This window comes from Homo sapiens, chromosome 2 (genome assembly GCF_000001405.40).
Source record: "Homo sapiens chromosome 2, GRCh38.p14 Primary Assembly".
Classification (NCBI taxonomy): domain Eukaryota; kingdom Metazoa; phylum Chordata; class Mammalia; order Primates; family Hominidae; genus Homo; species Homo sapiens.
In genome coordinates, this window is record NC_000002.12 from 106,821,297 (window position 1) to 106,839,681 (window position 18,385).

At 40.3% G+C, this 18,385-nt stretch overlaps 1 protein-coding gene across 16 annotated transcripts in view; it reads right to left on the bottom strand.

Annotated features, from left to right (window-relative positions):
- The window catches only part of ST6GAL2 (ST6 beta-galactoside alpha-2,6-sialyltransferase 2), an 85,678-nt gene that overhangs the window by 19,697 nt on the left and 47,596 nt on the right, over positions 1-18,385 (bottom strand). For 10 of the 16 annotated variants that reach the window (NR_136313.2, XM_011511999.3, NM_032528.3 and 7 more), the window contains 3 exons: positions 12,753-12,850; positions 11,269-11,370; positions 8,770-8,944 (listed from right to left, as the gene is read on the bottom strand). Coding sequence is in view for 15 of the 16 variants with exons in the window: in XM_011511999.3 (XP_011510301.1) it covers positions 8,770-8,944; positions 11,269-11,370; positions 12,753-12,850 (375 nt within the window). In the remaining variant the exon portion in view is untranslated. Of the gene's footprint in view, positions 1-3,364; positions 5,241-8,769; positions 8,945-11,268; positions 11,371-12,752; positions 12,851-18,385 lie in introns of those variants that run through there. The other 6 variants (XM_047446033.1, XM_047446031.1, XM_047446029.1 and 3 more) reach the window with 2 other exon arrangements.

An 18,385-nucleotide genomic window follows, 5' to 3' on the forward strand; every position in this document is an offset into this window, starting at 1 on the left:
GGAGACATAATACAACTGATGTCACAAAAATCCAAAGGGTCATTAGAGGCTACTATGAGCAACTATAATAGTATATATTAAATTGTATATATATTAATAGTATATAATAAATTGGAAAACCTAGAAAAAATTAATACATTCCTAGACACATACAATCTAGTAAGATTGAGTTATAAAGAAATCCAAAACCTGAACAGACCAGTAACAATTAATGAGATCAAAACTGTAATAAAGTTTCCCAGCAAAGAAAAGTCCAGGATTCAATGGCTTTACTGCTGAATTTTACCAAACATTTAAAGAAGAACTAATACCAATCTTACTCAAACCATTCTGAAAAATAAAGGAGGAGGGAATACTTCCAACCTCATTCTACAAGCCGTCCTGATACCAAAACCAGACAAAGACACATCAAAAAAGAAAACTATGGGCCAATATCTTTGATGAATATTGATTTTAAAAAATCCTCAATAAAATACTAGTAAATTGAATTCAACGACACATTAAAAAACCATTCATCACAACCAAGTGGGATTTATCCCTGGGATGCAACGATGGTTCAACATATGCAAATCAATCAATGTGATACATTAACAAAATGAAGGACAAAAAACATATAATCATTTCAACCGATGCTGAAAAAGCATTTGAAAAAATTCAACATCATTTCATGATAAAAACCTTCAAAATAGTGGGAATAAAAGGAACATAATTCAACACAATAAAAGCCATATATGACAGACCCATAGCTAGTTTCATACTGAATGGAGAAAAATTGAAAACTTTTCCTCTAAGATCTGGAATATGGCAAGGATGCCCACTTTCATCACTGTTATTCAACATAGCACTGAAAGTCCTAGCTAGAGCAATCAGAGAAGAGAAAGAAGTAAAGGGCATCTAAATTCGAATGGAAGCAGTCAAATGATCCTTGTTTGCAGACAACATGATCTTATATTTGAAAAAACCTAAAGACTCCGCCAAAAAACTATTAGAACTGATAAACATTCAGTAAAGTTGCAGGATACAAAATCAACATACAAAAATCAGTAGCATTTCTATATGCCAACAATGAACAATCTGAAAAAGAAATCAAGAAGGTAATCCCATTTACAATAACTACAAATAAAATACATGGGAATTAACCAAAGAAGTGAAAGATCTCGATAATGAAAATTATAAAACATCCATGAAAGAAGTTGAAGAGGCCACAAAAATATGGAAATATATTCCATGTTCATGGATTGGAAGAATCAATACTGTTCAAATGTCCATACTACTCAAAGCAATCCACAGATTAAATACAATCCCTATCAAAATACCAATGACATTCTTCACAGAAACAGAAAAAAAATCTTAAAATTTATATGTAATCACAAAAGACCCATTCAATAGAATGACCCAGAGTAGCCAAAACTATCCTGAGTGAAAAGAACAAAACTGGGGAAATCACATGACCTGACTTCAAATTATACTAGGTTGGTACAAAAGTAATTGTGGTTTTTGCCATTTTTGCCATGCAGTTTCTCCATTAATAAGAATCTTATTAATATTGAAGTAAGCTTGTAATGAAAGCATAGTTTAATTTCATATTAAAATGTATTTATATTATGTCAATAATGTAATTGTTCGCATGTTTTAGAATTCATTTATTGTAAGGAAAACAGAATCATTGTTATCTTTGATAAACTTTCTATGTACGTAAATTGCAAACTTCTGAAATCAGGTGTTTTTCCAACAATAAAATACTTTTGGTGAAGAGGTTCTTAGAGTTTGCTTTCTTCAATGCTAGGTCAATGTGTTCTTCAAATTTTGAAACTTATTGTTCTTTCTCTTGAAGTGGAAAAGGAAGCCCTGTTATTTTCAGATAAAACAGGAAGAATTTATTTGGTTGCAAACTAAGTATTTCTGTCCAAATCTGATTTTACTAGGAAATCTGATTTTCTTCTCCATAGGAAATAATGCACAGATCTTACAGCACCAAAGAAAAAGCTCAGCCGTGCCTATGGGGTACTAGATCAATGACAATTCTGATGTCACAATATCTCCAGGCCTACTAACCAAGAAACATTCAGACTGGTGCACTGAACAGAAGTTGTTTCTATACTCCTTTTCCCTTTAACATTTATTGCTTTCCTTTTCCCAGCAGAAAACACACACACACACACACACACACACACACACACACACACACACAGAGAGAGAGAGAGAGAGATCGAGAGAGAGAGAGAGAGAAAGATTTCCTAATCCAATAAGGCAAGAACACACGATGTATGAGCCATCAAAGAGACTACTGGTACTGGGCTAGGGGTTGCTAATGAAAGTGCAAAAAGTATGTTATGCTTTTTGAGAGGAAGGTGTTGGCTGAATGTCTTATTCCATTTGGGCTGCTGTTCCAAAATGCAATAAACTGGGTGGCTTATAAATGACAAGAATTTATTTCTCATAGTTTTAGGGGCCTGAAATTCCAAGAACAATATGCAGCAGATTCAATGTCTCGTGAGGACCCACTTACTGGTTCATTGATGGCCATCTTTCTGCTGTGTCTTCACACAGTGGAAGAGGCAAATGAGCTGTCTGGGGTCTCTTTTATAAGGGCACTAATCCTGTCCATGAGGGCAGCTCCACCTTCATGACCTAATCACCTCCCAATGGTCCCACCTCCTAATAACATCACCTTGAGGGTTAGAATTTCAACATACAAATTTTACAGGGAGAAACATTCAAGTCGACCACACCAAATTGCATCTGCCCAAATGTTAGTGAGAGAATGCCTTCCTGCAATCAATGACAGTTGGAACTTTGCTTGCTTTTTGCAAACTTATACCCCACTAATCAGTATATTCAAGAATCTGGGTCCCCACTTGATAGGAACAAACACAAATGCACTTTTAAGAAAAGGATTTACAGTTCACATTGTAATGTATGTCATTTCACAAGAAGTTTTAAGGACAAAAACTGAGTTCATTAGTAAAGCAAGTAAATTTTATAGTTATGTCTTCCAAAGAAACAAAAAGAATAATTGTATTTGTAGTTAAAACATCCAATAATGCTGGAATAGGCCAGGCAAGGTGACTCATGCCTGTAATCCCAGCACTTTGGGAGGCCAAGGTAGGCTGTTCAGGAGGTCAGGAGATCGAGACCATCCTGGCTAACATGGTGAAACCCCGTCTCTACTAAGAATACAAAAAATTAGCTGGGCACGGTGGCACGCGCCTGTAGTCCCAGCCACTCGGGGGACTGAGGCAGGAGAATTGCTTGAACCCAGGAGGCAGAGGTTGCAGTGAGCCGAGAAGGCTCCACTGCACTCCAGCCTGGATGACAGAGTGAGAGTCCGTCTCAAAACAAACAAACAAACAGAAACATCCAATACTGCTGGAATATAGGATTTAATGTTACGGAATTTCAAAAGATGAAAATATACAAAAATGTTATATTTTTAGTAATACATTACATTGTTTTAACTAAATACAAATAAAAATAATTATCCCACTTGGGATTAAAGATTGCAATAAGTACATGATTAGTAGTTATTCAAGATTCCTGTGTCCTCTACTGAGCCAAATGCATATCACCTTGCTGGTACCTCCATCAGTACGGAGCCTGTGGACTAGACTTCTAAAGTTCTTAAGATTCCAAAAAGCTGAAAGAATGGTTCTCAAAGCGTGGCCCCAGGACCAACAGTGTCAGTATCACTTGAGAACTTGTTCCAAATGCAAATTCTCACAACCTCCGGCAACTCAAAAACACTAGGGGTGGGCCCGGTAATCTGGTTTACAAAACTGTGACAGCCACCCTCCAAACTGACTCCATAATGATTCGTGCCTGCTATTCATGCCTTTGTATAGTTTCCTCCCATAACAATGGTGCTGACTTGTGTATAACAAAGATAATGTAGCAGATGTGTTAGCTTATGACATCATAAAAACATTGGGCCTTCCTCCTTGCTCTTTCTCAGATCCCCCGTTCTCTGGAAGCCAGCTGCCATGTTGTGAGGATGCCCAAGCAGTGCTATGGAGAGAGGTTCATGCAGTAAGGTCTCTTGTGCTCAGCTATGCAAGTGAGTCATCTTGGAAACACATTATCCAGCCTGAATCCAGACAGTTTCATTGTAACCTTATGAGACACTGTGAGCCAGAATCATCCAACCAATCTTCTCCCAGATTACTGACCCATGGAAATTGTGTGAGAGAATAAATGCTTATTAATCTTTTTAGTATCTAACTTTTGCTTTGCAGCAATGGTTTACTAGCATACAAACCTTTTGTTTGACTCTGACACATGCTAAATTTTGAAAAACATTGAGCTAAAACATTCATTCATTCACCAAGTAATTATTATTTGTATCTGCTATGTACCAGGCTAACAGCAGAAATACAATGATGAGCAGAACAGACACTGACCATTCCTTGATGCATCCTTTTCTTTTCCTTCGTTGGACTTATCATACTTTATAATGATTTTATTTATGTCTGTCCTGCAAATTTTGGGTGGGCAGGACCCTTGTCTGGTTTCTTCACCACCAGGTTTCTGGGGTCCAGTCCTGTGTCTGGCACACAGGAAGTGTGCAATTAATATCCACATGACAGTGACCCTTACCTTCCTTTTTCACCACCTTTCGCCTATATGAAGGATTCAGGCGCCAGTAACAAGGCCTTGAATTGCACTAATAGCACTACATTTAAGGGGCTCAGTAACTTCTCCCTGGGAATCTAACTGCCGCTGGATAATCTCCATACAAAGAAATGTCTTTCGTGTTCAAAAGAGTCAACTTTTAGAGTCTCTCTATTTCAAACATGCAGATTCCTAAGCATGTATAAAGAAAATGTATGCAGTGGATGTGTTAGCCTGTTAAATGTATGCAGTGGATGTGTTAGTCTGTTCTTGCACTGCTATAATAAAATACCTGAGACTGCGTAAATTATAAAGGAAAGAGATTTAATTGGCTCATAGTTCTGCAAGCTGTACAGGAAGCACAGTGCTGGCATCTGCTTCTGAAGAGGCCTCAGGAAGCTTTTACTCATGGTGGAAGGCAAAGTCAGAGTTGGCACTTCACATGTTGAAAGCAGGGGCAAGAGACAGAGTGGGCGGGAGGTGGTGCCACATGCTCTCAAATAACCAAATCTGTAGTCCCAGCTACTTGGGAGGCTGAGGCAGGAGAATTGCTTGAACCTGGGAGGCAGAGGTTGCAGTGAGCTGAGATCGTGCCACTGCACTCCAGCCTGAGTAACACAGCGAGACTCCGTCTCAAAAAAAAAAAAAAAAAAATCAGAAAACAACCAAATCTCACAAGAACTCACTATCATGAAGATAGCCCCAAGCCATGAAGGATCTGTCCCCATGATCCAAACACCTCCCACCAGGCCCAGGTGAATTGGGAATTACAATTCAACATGAGATCTAGGTGGGGACAAATATCCAAACTATGTCAGAGGGTTTAGAAATATAAGTAATGGCATGGGAGACTATAAGGATGAACATATCAGTAAAGGTTTCAGCCAAAAATATTGGAAAACAAAAGCACTATGAAGCCAACCATGTGTGCAGCTATGTGTATATACATGTATCTAATGAGCATATCAGTATAGGAAGTGGGGCACACTGTTTCACCTCCAGTGCAGCCCTTTGTGGATCAGAACAATCGGAGGCCAGGGACACTGCCAGGGTGATCTTTTGCGATGGTGACCGTCCTGCTGACCGGTGTACCCAGAGCTGAAGATGGGACTGTGCAAACTGAAATGATCTAATCCCTTCTAACAGCTCTTCGATGAGTTCTTTCATTCAGGAGCTGACGTTAGAGGTTAGAGCACTTGGAAACAATGAGGTGCTGAGACAACAAGTCAATACCTTCTTAACATGACCTCAGAGCATGAAGGGGGCATTTGGAGAACACTTTTTGATAGCAGAAAAAAAACCAGTCATTGATTTTTAAAATTCTTACAGCAGACAGATTGAGATATGGGTGACATCATTTTACTGCTATTTAAGGATGTTGGATAAGTTATAAAACAGATTCTGGCTCTCAGCCTATTTATGATCAAGATCAAAGAAGAGGGGCAAAGACTACTGCAGTCTCGTGAGTCATCAGAAGGTGCTGGAGTTTTTCTGAGCAGAACTCATCCAAGCTGTCTCCACTGCCCATCCTTGGTGAGGGTTCTCACATGCTTCACCATGACAAGGCACAAGGGCCACAAATAAATTTAACAACGCCAGACCACATCTTCTGTTGCCTCTTCTATCCTCGCCCACCCCCAACCCTTACCCACAGAGCACAGCCTGCCCAGTGGGAACTGAGGGATTTCTTATCAACTTGCTGTTTTTCTTTCTTTTGTGACTAGCAAAACATAACAGTGCTGTCTACATAACGTTCTGGGACAATGGAATTGTTCTCTCTCTGCACTGTCCAATATGGCAGCCATCAGGAGCACACGGTGACTCAGAATTTGAGATTGGGCTAGTGAGATTGAGAAACAAAAGGTTTCCTCTTATTCAGTTTGACATAATTGAAACATAAGTAGCCATATTGGTCAGTACAGTGTTAGAAAATAATAATGCTTATTAGTATTTCCATTTCTCATCTGTGGATATTCAGGGTCAGAGGATTAACTAACTTGCCCAAGGTCAGAAAGCTAGGAAACAGCAGAGGGGAATTCAAACTCAACCCACCCTGCACAACCTCAACTTCTTGCATCAAACTGCAGCCCCTTCTTCAGGTCAAAGAAGGCTTAAAGATAATCTTCAGCTTCTGAAACTTTAAATTCTCAGTAAATAGCTTTAAAAGGAAGCTGGCTATATATGGCATGATTTCTTTTAACAAAAACAACATAGGAAAGTACTTTTTTTCAGTTATGACTATCTAACTTGAATTTTTTAAACCCCATGTTGATAATAAGTGTATCTGACAGGCCCCTCTAACTGTGCTTTAAAACTTTTGCTCTAATCAAATATTAGCCACATGAATTCATGAGAGGGTGACAATATGAAAAAGACTTTATTAAACTTCTGTCACATCCTATTATGCTGTCTAGGCATTATTCTATCCTGTTTATCCTTTGCTGACAAACTAGATTATACTTTCTTTCCTAAATCAACAAGATCCTATGAAACCACACAAAAGATAAAGAACTTAGGATTTCAAAAGAGTGATTTGGAAACAAAGAGTGTCAAAGGCATGAGTTTAAAAGGGAGAAAAAAAGCTGAGCTTAAGGAAAATAATATGCAGTCATATTGTAAATTTTGTTTTTAAATTATATGTAAAATATTTCACATTATTACAATACCAAAACCCACTCTAAAATCTGCAAGCTTCAATTCAGGATACCTGTGTGTCCTGAATTCATAACCAAACCAATGTTATCTCCACAAATCTTTCCTTTATTCATGGGGAACTACTGTGCAGCCCAAGAAAGGAAAAGGGGTGTAAATTCATTAAAACTGGGGAAGAGAACATTACAGTTCTTTAAAGACAAAACCAATATCCTTTGGTTCTTGTATAGGTTTTAATATTGCCAAAAGGGTCTAGGATATTCCTTAATATTACCCACTCGGGTAATATCAAAGAAACAATGGGGTGATAAGCTAAAACACAGATAAAGAAATGGGGTAAAACCCAAAAACTCTGAGGATCAAAGCTAGACTGGAAAACAATGTAGGCCCAGTGTGATGCTCTTGTTATATAAAACCCATCTGTAGATGAAAGATGGCATACTCTTCGGTTAAGAGAGCTAAATGAGGTACTGGAACTAGTCTCATCAAAGCCCGCACCTACTCATAATCTTGAAACACAACACACTATCCTGTGGTCACAGATTCAGCTCCACAACCAAGCATGGCATAAGCTATGTGAACAGGCATGGGTGGTGGATTCACGATGCTGCACATTCCTGGACATGCCTCCCTCACTTCCCTCAAGAGGCGGGGGTCTATGTTTTGTCCCCTGGAATCAAGTGAGCCCTGCAGTAACTCTGGCCAATAGAATTGCACATGTGATGCTGTACCAGTTACTAGGTGTTGGCCTTAAGAAACTGGCAGTGGCAGAGAAGAATTCAAATTCTTGATTTTCTGTGTTTTCAGACATTCTCCCTAGGATCCATAAGCTGCCATTTAAGAAGTCTAATTACTTTGAGACCACCATGCAAGAAAGACTATGTGCAGGCACATGGTCAACTGTCCCAGCTGAGCTGGGCCTTTAGCCATCCCTGCAAAGGGACTGGATGGATGTGGGAGTGAAGTAATCCCACAAAGCAGCTGAATACACCAGATAACCCCCATGGATGCCATATAGAACAGAAAGAACTGCCCAGCCAGGCCTGTCCTGACCCATAAAACCATGAGAAAAATAAAACGGTTCTTGCTTTTACACCTTGGAATTTCAGAGTAGTCTGTTACACGAGTGTTTTTTTTTTCCTTAGTTAACCTACCTTCCCTCCAAAGCCACCTGTTAATGGCTCTTACTATACAGGTGGAACATGCCTAATCTGAATAACCAAAAGTTTAAATGCTCCAAAATCCAAAACTTTTTGTGTGCCTACATGGCACTCAAAGCAAAGGCTCATTGAAGCATTTTGGATTTTTGGATTAGAGATGCTCAATCGGTTAAATATCTGCAAATATTCTGAAATCTGAAAAAAAAAAATCCAAAATCAGAAATACTTCTGGTTCCAGGCATTTCAGATAAGGTATTTTCAACCTGTATAACACGACTGTATATTTGTTAAATATTAGATATCATCCTGTCTGCCCCCCAATCATTCCAATTTTTAACATAACACCTACCAATGAAACCAGAAGATGGTGGGTTTGGTTGAATCTTCTCTTTAGTGTTCTCCTGGATAATATCCCAGAGCTGCCATATAAATTTAGGATGAAGAATGTAAAATGGCTGATTTGGGTTTCTCTGACGATGCTGAATATATGGAGTGAACAGGTTGTAATCCGGTTTTTTGTACCACTAAGGAAAAAAAAATCAATGCAGTCAAGTAGAAAGAACTAAACTATGAAAGGAGACAGGGCATGGCTGGTTGATTTGAGGCAGAGGGGCCAGGCTGGGGCTAGAGGATGGGGAAAGATCATGACTCATGACATCTACAGACACTTCCTCATTGGGATGAGGGGACAAGAACAAAGACAGACCAGGGCGCTAGCCCTAGCAGATATAATGCTTTGTGCTTAAGTAAAATGAGGAAAAGGGACTAGATCACGGATCAGCATACTTCTTCCACAAAGGGCCAGATAATCAACACCTTGGGCTTTGCAGGCCATAGAGTCAGTCGTCTCTACTCAACGGTACCATCGTAGCACGGAAGCAGTCATGGACAATAAATACTGAATGGGCGTGCTGTGTTCTAAAAAAACACTATTTATTAAAACAGGTGGTGGCTAGATTTCGCCCATGGGTGTAGTTTGTTGACCCCTGGGAACTGGATCAGTGTATTTCAAATATGAGTTTTCCAAATTTCATCTACAGTAACAGAAATTGTATCGTTGCTGCTTGGGCCTGAGTTGGGGCTGGGAAGATTAACTAGGATTGATTAACAAAGGAACTTTCTAGGGTGATGGAAATATTCCAGTTTTTCATTGTGGTGGTAGATACATGAGTGTATAAATTTATCATTCATCAAAAGGTACATTTATATTTGCTTACACCATGTATGTTATTGTATGAAAAATCAATAAAGATGTTTTCTAAAAAGGAAGTTTTCAGAAGCATCTCAGCTGTAACCATGACATGGATTTGGAGAGAGTAGGGAGAAGTTCAACTCATCAAACTCCCTTTAAACAGACATCAGGGGTATATAATGGGTATATATTAAGATCACAGGAAATATTCCACTAGTGAAATGGCACTGTCACTTTAAAAGCTTTGAGAATGACTGGACCAGAGTATCTTTCATAAATGAAGCCCCAAGCCATGTGGCACTGGCAAGGGAGCAAGAGGAATGTGGGGCCAGAGGGAGAGTCGCTCCTTTACCCTCCCTCCTCTTGGGGCCTCACATGGCAGCAAAGGCCTTACAGAAAGCGGCCTTGTCACTGGGATTTTAGCACTGCTGGGTGGCCAGCTCTGTGCCCTGGGCTGAGCTGCTTCTAACAGAGGAAGAAATAAGGTCCAATAGCTAGAAACTCTCAAGTCTGTTCACAAATAGCAAGAGAGCTGTGAGAGCTTAAAACCAGGGAACCTCAGGCTGGAAAGGAAGTTGAAAAGTTCAAACACCCATCTGATGCTTGATTCTCAGCGGAGGGTACATATGAGAATCAAAGAGCCCTCTCAAAAAATATACATTGAGGCTATATATATCCTCCATTTCTGGAGATGGGGCTCTGACAGATTTTGAAAAATACTCTCCAGGTGATTTTGACTTGCACTCCTGGTCAAGAATTGTAAGTAATCATATGAGGTAAATGTCCAGCCTCAGTCTCAAGGTCAACAGTGACCAAAATGCTCCTTCTCCAGGAGCCGCTTTTATCTTGGGAGGTTACCTCTCACAGAAGCAAAGATCTTTCCCTGACACTCATCTTAAGAAGGTTGCATCCTCTCTGGTCTTGACTAAACAAGTCAAAGACGCTCATTTACAGAACTGACAGCATCTCTTACTAGGCTAAATACTATCCATCTTTTCCAGCCCTCACTGATAAACAAGCATGCTGGCTTTTCATGAAAGGTTTCACCAAAAGTAGCTGGCTGCTTGTTTAGACAGGCAATGATTTACCAGAATGTCCCAAATATAACCTGTTTGTGTTTTTATGGCTAGCAATAAACTTGTTTCAGCCCTATTGCATAAAATTCAACAGATTTAGAAGCAGAGGCCAAAGAGGAACACACTCAAGAAGAGCCTGGAACAGGCCCCATTTAAATAAAAATGAGCTGTGGATTCACAAAGTTGAGATTTTCGTGCCATCACCTTCAATTTATTTCAAAAGGTCTTCCAACTACTTGAAAGGTAATGTAGCCCTATCACAATGAAACAATTCTGAGTTTAATCAGTCAACCCTTTAGTGTAACTAGAAATTTCTGAATATTTAGATATTCTACATTTCCCCCACCCGGCTGCCCTGCCCACCGATTCTGCACAAAAGCACTTTGGCATTAGATGACTAATGCTCACAAGTGTGCTATTGTAACTGGGTATCAACGTGGTGTTCACAAACATGCATTAAATTGATATTGATGGGTACTTTCATTGTCTGTCAAAGCTTAATCCTTGCCTTGCTCTTATGATTAATTAGTCAAAGCCATTGTCTGACCGTTGGGGTGGGCAAATCCAGGGAAACACTTACCAGGTTAAGATTTGCGGAATATGGGGCAGGGTCCCAGGCCACCAAAATGACGTCTTTATACAGTGAACTGTCAATGAAGTGATGGCTGGGGTTGGTCAGAATCTGCAAACACACAGAAAAACCATTTCAAAGCCAGGGTTTGGTTTTTAAAAATTGCATTTTAAAAAGAGGTGAAAATTAAAAAGAACTGGGGCAAAAAAACAGGTGGCTCAGACGTTGTATTTTCTTCTGGGGGAGGGAGAGAGGCAGGCGTTGCATGCAGAAGCACTTAAAGAATGTTTGAGGAAATTACTTTTTTTTAAAAAAAAGCACAAGTTCTGACATTTTCACCAGCAATGTACTCATGTCTAGTGGTATTGAATCCAGATCCTGAACGATGCAACTCCCTAGCTAATTCAAGCCGCACAACCTCTTCTACAATTGCCTTCACATGTAATTTGGAGACAGAGTTGCAGGTGTGGATGAAGTGAGTTCAGAAGGAGCCTCCAGGGTGCCAGCCACAGCCTTCCCTCTGTGGCCCTACCTAGTTCTAAATGAGTTCTTCAATCTCAGCTGCCAATCATCTTTTTAAAATTATTATTTCAGGAAAAAACAACATATTATTTTCCCTCAGTTTTAAGATACTTTTTTTTTTTAACCATTATTACGATGTACTTTTTTCCTTCTCATGTTAAAGTTTCTTAGTTAGAATGTATGTTACAGATGATATGTATTCTAATTTGGTGGCATTTACCTCCTCCTTTGTAAAAAGTTGTTATTAAATGAATGGCAGATTTTACAGTCAAATGACATCTCTGAATTAAGGAAATATGGTAATTGTTTCTTACCTTGCGGCAGGCTGCCTGGTGCAGTGAACTGTGCAGAAAGCTAATCTTTTGTTCTGTAAGCAACTCACCATAAATCACTCATCACCTCACTTTTTTCTACATATTTTGAAACTCCAGAAATTGTTGTGGTTTGTTCTGAGGATAACTTTGCTATAAATTTTCAAGGCATTCTCATTAAGAACGTGAAGAAACGAGGTATTTTCATTTCCAATTAAACAATTCCTTTCCATTTTTTCAAATTTCCAAATGGCAGACTAAAGTTGCAAAGATCTCCTATGAACTCAGATTTTATACTTTGCTTTTCTCCCCTTTATCCTCTGCTTTCTTTATTGCCATTTCTTCTAAATTTAACTTTTGTCAGTTCACAAAATGCAACATGCTAAGTCTATGATTATAAATATATATATTTCTATTTCTACTGATTTTTCCTTTTAATTTTATTCATTTCCTCCTATTCATGTCATGTCTAAATTCCCATTTCTCTGCAGTTTTCTTCATTAATTTCTATTAATTATAAGATTGATAGAAATAAACAAGTACCACGGTCATAATTAACCAGGTAACTTCTCTTCACTCATCCGGTTAAACTCATTTCTCTTCACTCATCCAGTTAAACCTAAGAAACATACATCCATGAAAACACTCCATCTGTCTTACCTGCGAATTAATGATGCGTATGGTGGTTTTATTCCCAACATCTTTCTCATAACCACGTGTAGGAGCAGAGTTAAATCTCAAAACCGCATCATGAGAATCTAAGGGCACATAAGTGACAAGCTTACTTTTGTTCTCTGTAGAATCACATAATCTAGGAAAAAATGTTAAAGCAAATCTTTCAATACCTGAAGCTAATTATACATCACCAATAAAGTTAAGATATGCCCACATGATTTTCAGAGAATTTACTCTTCACTGAGAATGAGATCTTGGCTGGAGGAAACATCAATATGGATATATATAGATGTAAAATCTGTTCAATTATGGGCGAGACTGTATGATCTAAGTGATATTTAGATACTTGCTACCTTTTCAACATTCTTACAAGTGACATGCTTGATGCAGCCATTCTCCCAAAGCTTCCAATACATCTTGAGGGAGACTGTACTGGAGCAGATAAAGACACTAGAAAGCAAGGGCTGCTTTTTGGTGCTGGTGTATGCTTAAAAAGAAAGCCAGCCCTGCAAGGGCTGCTTTTTGGTGCTGGTGTATGCTTAAAAAGAAAGCCAGTCCTTAAGCAGAGATTCTGCATGTAATGTTGAAGAAAGAAAGAAAGTCAGCCCTGACTTCGACGCAGCCTTACATACTGCTGCCGATGGCAAGAAGACCTGTGTGAGAGCAACCTTAAGAGCATTCTGCATTAGCAGCAATAGCCTGCCAGACCACCATAGCCCCTGAGGATGGGTGAGATGGAGAGACCACCAATGCCACCAGCTGCCAGGGCTCTTATGTTCTATAACCACACACCGTGCTTCACCAAACTTGAACTATGAATGCAACGTAAATCTACATCTCACTTCGTTCAACTTGACAGCCCGACTTGCCCAAGTTCTCTGAATGCTGGGCTGGAAGGTCCTGGATGAAAACAAGGTACCCCTATCCTGGAGGCTGACAAGGAGGTGAACAGTGGGAGGCACAGGAAAGTGGGTTCACCTGATTTAGCATTGGGACTAGGGGATATGTTCCCTTTACAGAAGGCAGCCTATAAACATACATGCGTCTTGAAATTCCTAGAAACCAGCCTGAAGCCAGAGTCAGTGAGCAAGAAAGCAATTTTCTAAGGGCCATCTTTAGCTTTAAATATCTCATGCAGATTCCAAGCTCGGCCTGGAGCAAGGACAGTGCCTGTCTGTGAGGGAGAGGTGAAAAGAAGTATTTCTGTCATGCCCAAGGGGAGCTGCATTTATAGTCCCCGAGCCCGCACAAGTGCCTAAGGCAGCCGCCTTCTTCCCTGAGTTCCTGCTATCTGCTCCTTTGGAGTTGTCTTCTTGCTCCCCAAATAGCAGAAACTCACCATGCATGCCCCCACTAAAACAATGTTTAAAAAGGTGCCTTCACTGACAAACCCTAAACTTAAAAAAATTCAAATTCCAGCTTTAGCACCAAAATTAATTCACTTTTGGAACATGTGAATGCATAAAGCGTAGGTGGCTGTGTCATCAAAACCCTGCAATGTTCTTTTAGGGGAAATTTTGCAGGAGTTGGCAAACTATGACCTTCTGGCCAAATCTGACCTGCCACTTGTTTTAGTAAATCAAGTTCCACCATAACACAGACACACTCACTGTACATGCTGTCTATAACTGCAGAGTTGAGTTGTTGAGACAGAGACAGAGATACAGTTCACAAAACAAAAAATATCTACTACCAGGCTCTGTAAAAAAGTCTGCCAATCTCTAGGTTCAAGGGGATCTATTCTTTGTGTAAATGATGCCAAAATACATGAATGCCTCCAAGTTAAAACCAGTTCTTTACTTCACAATTTAAGGATTTGTTCATACTTTATTGAGGTAATGGATTTCTTATTTATTTTTATTGAATAATGTTTTGTCAAAAAATTCAAATAATATTTGAGGTAGAAAAACTAGATTACCCAAAACAGTAGACTCTTGAAATTTATTGATAATCCAAACACTTTTTAGGCAGATGGAATATATCTACTGATATTTACCATACTAAAAGGTAAAACGGAATTTTAAAATGTCTATTAATTTATTTTAAAACAGCTTTTTTTCAATTTAAAAAACCTCTATATTTTCAAAAACCAAAAGAATACTGAGAAGACTGGCACCGTTTTTAATGTCTGCAAGTCTCTTTAAGGTCTGGTTTTTTAGAAAGTTGGTTTCTCACATCTGCTTTTGAATTCAACTTGTTGCAATATGTTGTTTTATTTGAAGTATATGAAGGCTCAGACACACTGTTGAATTGAGAGAGCTATTTAAAGAATCCTTCCAAAGAACTGTGAATATTCTTCTTTGATACCTAACAAGACTCTACGAGGGCTAGTTTCTTAGGGTTGGTTACAATTTGGAATCTGAAACCTATCAATGAACTTTTTGTGCTCTGTTACATTAAAACTTGTGGTCTATTTTTCTCTTAAAATGGATCTTTCACTCACGCATAATTGTATAATATTGTACAATGATCAGCTGAAAACTATCAGCTAGGCATAGTTATACATAAGTTATATATATATATAATATGTTAGTCAGACATTCCAAATAGTGATGCATTTTGTTATAAAGAGTTGAAACACTGGCTGGGCATGGTGGCTCAGGCCTGTAATCCCAACACTTTGGGAGGAACAGGTGGGCGGATCATCTGAGGTTGGGAGTTCGAGACCAGCCTGACCACCATGGAGAAACCCCGTCTCTACTAAAAATACAAAAAAAAAAAAAAAAAAAAAAAATTAGCTGGGCGTGGTGGTGCATGCCTGTAATCCCAGCTACTCGGGAGGCTAAGGTAGAATTGCTTGAACCCAGGGGGCAGAGGTTGCAGTGAGCCAAGATTGCACCATTACACTACAACCTGAGCAACAGGAGCAAAATTCCATCTCAAAAAAAAAAAAAAAAAAGAATTGAAACACCACATTGATTAGTATCACCATGGAGTTCCCCAGTTTTTAAAGTCTGGAAAACTTCCAAGTTCATGGTTCAAAGCTTGAATTTTATCATTGGCAACAAATACTATCAGTTATTTTCCTAAAAGTGACAGGCTCGCTTGATTCCTTTTTGAGAATATATCTGCCAAATATCCAAGTCTGAATAATTAACGTTTCTTTTCAAGTTAAAATTGTATTTCATGAAAAAAGTGGCTAGTTCGGCTCACAGTGCAATTACCCAAGGGCTTTTCCTTTGTGAACTGGCACACATAAGTGCTTTTCTCCTATTTCCCCATGTGCCCCACTGAATCTGAAAAACACGTGTATTCAAAGGTTGAGCTTTGGGTTCTGCTGCCCTGACTTGTGCTAAGAAGCCCCTGTCTCATGCATCATTCATTGTGTTTGTACCACCAGTGCAAATGTCAACAACTGAAAGGAAAAGAACTCTGAGTATACTTACCAGAATAGTTTTTTCTCATGGACCCTCGAAAGGGTCTTGCAAAGGCTAAGGGTAAGCTTAGATCTCACTGTTCCCACTGCTAAGCTAGGGAAACCCTCTGGTTGCAGACAGTGAGAGGAGACTCCACCAGCGAGGTGACTGCAGGTGCTGGGAGGGAATCAGCCCTAAGCCAGAGAGGAAGTGTGATGCCAGCAATCCTCAATCTCAGTTCTCTCCAAACCACGCTACCCACCCCTCAGACACAGCCTACCCAAGGGCCTCAAGCGGTGGGTGCATTTCTATTATTTGACTAATAAATCTGAATTAATTGCATCACCCTTGAAAACATCCCAGCATTTAAATGCCCATTGTCTTATTGTGGAGCTGTGCTCTAAACCATCCAAGGACTTCACGAGGCACAGGGCACAGAAAGATAACGCAGTGTAATTCCTTTGGAGGTGGTATTAGTCTGCAGAGTTAAAAGGCCACCTGCATGGAGAGGGCAGGGAGGCAGGGTCATGTAGGCTTGTGGCTAGGCCCAGTGCAAGCCCTCTATGAACAGCCACTGTGAGCAGCGTGGGGTTGGGATGGAAGGGGAGGGTGCGCTGAGACTGTCTCTCACACAGACACGTTCTGTAAACGTACACCTGGCTGTGCATTCCTTGATAATGCACTGTGAGAATAGAAGCTGTCCATTCATATTTAGAAAAAAAGGAATAGGTCAGACAGCAAATACAAGGGGAAGAAAGTCAAGTTCCATTTCTGGAGAAGGCATTTCCAGGCCAGAACCATGCTGTGTTGTCCTTGAGAATGGAGCCAGACAAGTGCATCCATGGAAGGAAAATTAAAGCCCTTCAAGGAGCTGCTGGGCCAGCACCCGGTCACCGCCCTGCCCCAGGCCCCATTCACCACATCATCCCCCTCTCCTACACTGATGAGAAAATTCAAACAGCAGGAGAGCAAGCCTCCAGTCACTAGAGAATGGCCTGCCTGGGATTGGACAAAGCATCGCTTTGGGAGCTCCATCACCCTGGGAGCCCTGTTTCTCCCCAGGACCTGTAACCCTCACCTCTTGATGTACTTCCCTTGCACCCTCAAGTCCAGGCTCTGGAGTGATCTCTCTACAGTGACTATCTGCAATGGCTGCACATCATGGGCACAGGGCTGAGAGCTAGTGTTTCTGGAGACCCAGACTGGGGTTTGAATCCAGACTCTGCACATGTGACTGGAGGTACCTTCATTTCCTTATCTGTAAAATGGGAACAAAGTTATCTATCACTTAGGGTTGTAAGGTTTACAACAGTTAGCACATAAAAAGCACTTTGGGTTGGGCACAGTGGCTCACACCTGTACTTCCAGCACTTTGTGAGGCCGAGGCGAGCAGATCACTTGAGGTCAGAAGTTCAAGACCAGCCTGGCCAACATCATGAAACCCCATCTCTACTAAAAACACAAAAATTAGCCGGGTATGGTGGCGCGTGCCTGTAATCCCAGCTACTCGGGAGGCTGACGCAGGAGAATAGCTTGAGCCTGGGAAGTGGAGGTTGCAGTGAGCCAAGATTGTGCCACTACACTCCAGCCTGTGCAACAGCGGGAGACTCCATCTCAAAAAAGCAAAAAAACAAACAAACAAAAAAAACAAGAGCATTTTGAACAGGGCCTTGTCTGTACTATATAAGTGGTACCTGATTTCAATTAAGTGAAGTCTAATATTCATAGAGTGGCTTGCAAGGGCATCCAGGAAGATGATCTGCCTTCCAAGCCTGCTTCTCTCTTCTGTCCCTACGAGCCCATGTACTCCCTGTAGCTCTCACCACCTGCACAACATGCTGTTTCTCACTTCCATATGATGCTGGGCCTTCAGCTTGGTCTCCTCTCCCTGGAGCAGTCTTTACCAATCTCTTCTCTCTACCAGCCCTCAGGGGAGTTAGGAATCCGTTGTCATTTCTGCCTTGTCAGCCTACATATCTCTCTGTCCTTCTCCAACCCACAACACTGGAATTGTCTGTTTACCACTGAAGTGTGCCGGTATGGATAGTTGAGCCTGTGACCTATTCATTTTTGTGTCTAGCCTAGGATCTGGTGGAGAGTTGGTGATCAATAAATAATGCTAATTGGATGAGTATATGGACTGCTTTCTTCTTTCTTGCTTTTTTAAAAGGTAACAGGACATGTCAAATCTCAAGCCCTCTCCACCAGTCTATGCATCCCACCCCCAGTCTCTCCCTCCATGTCCCATTTCCCATGCACTTG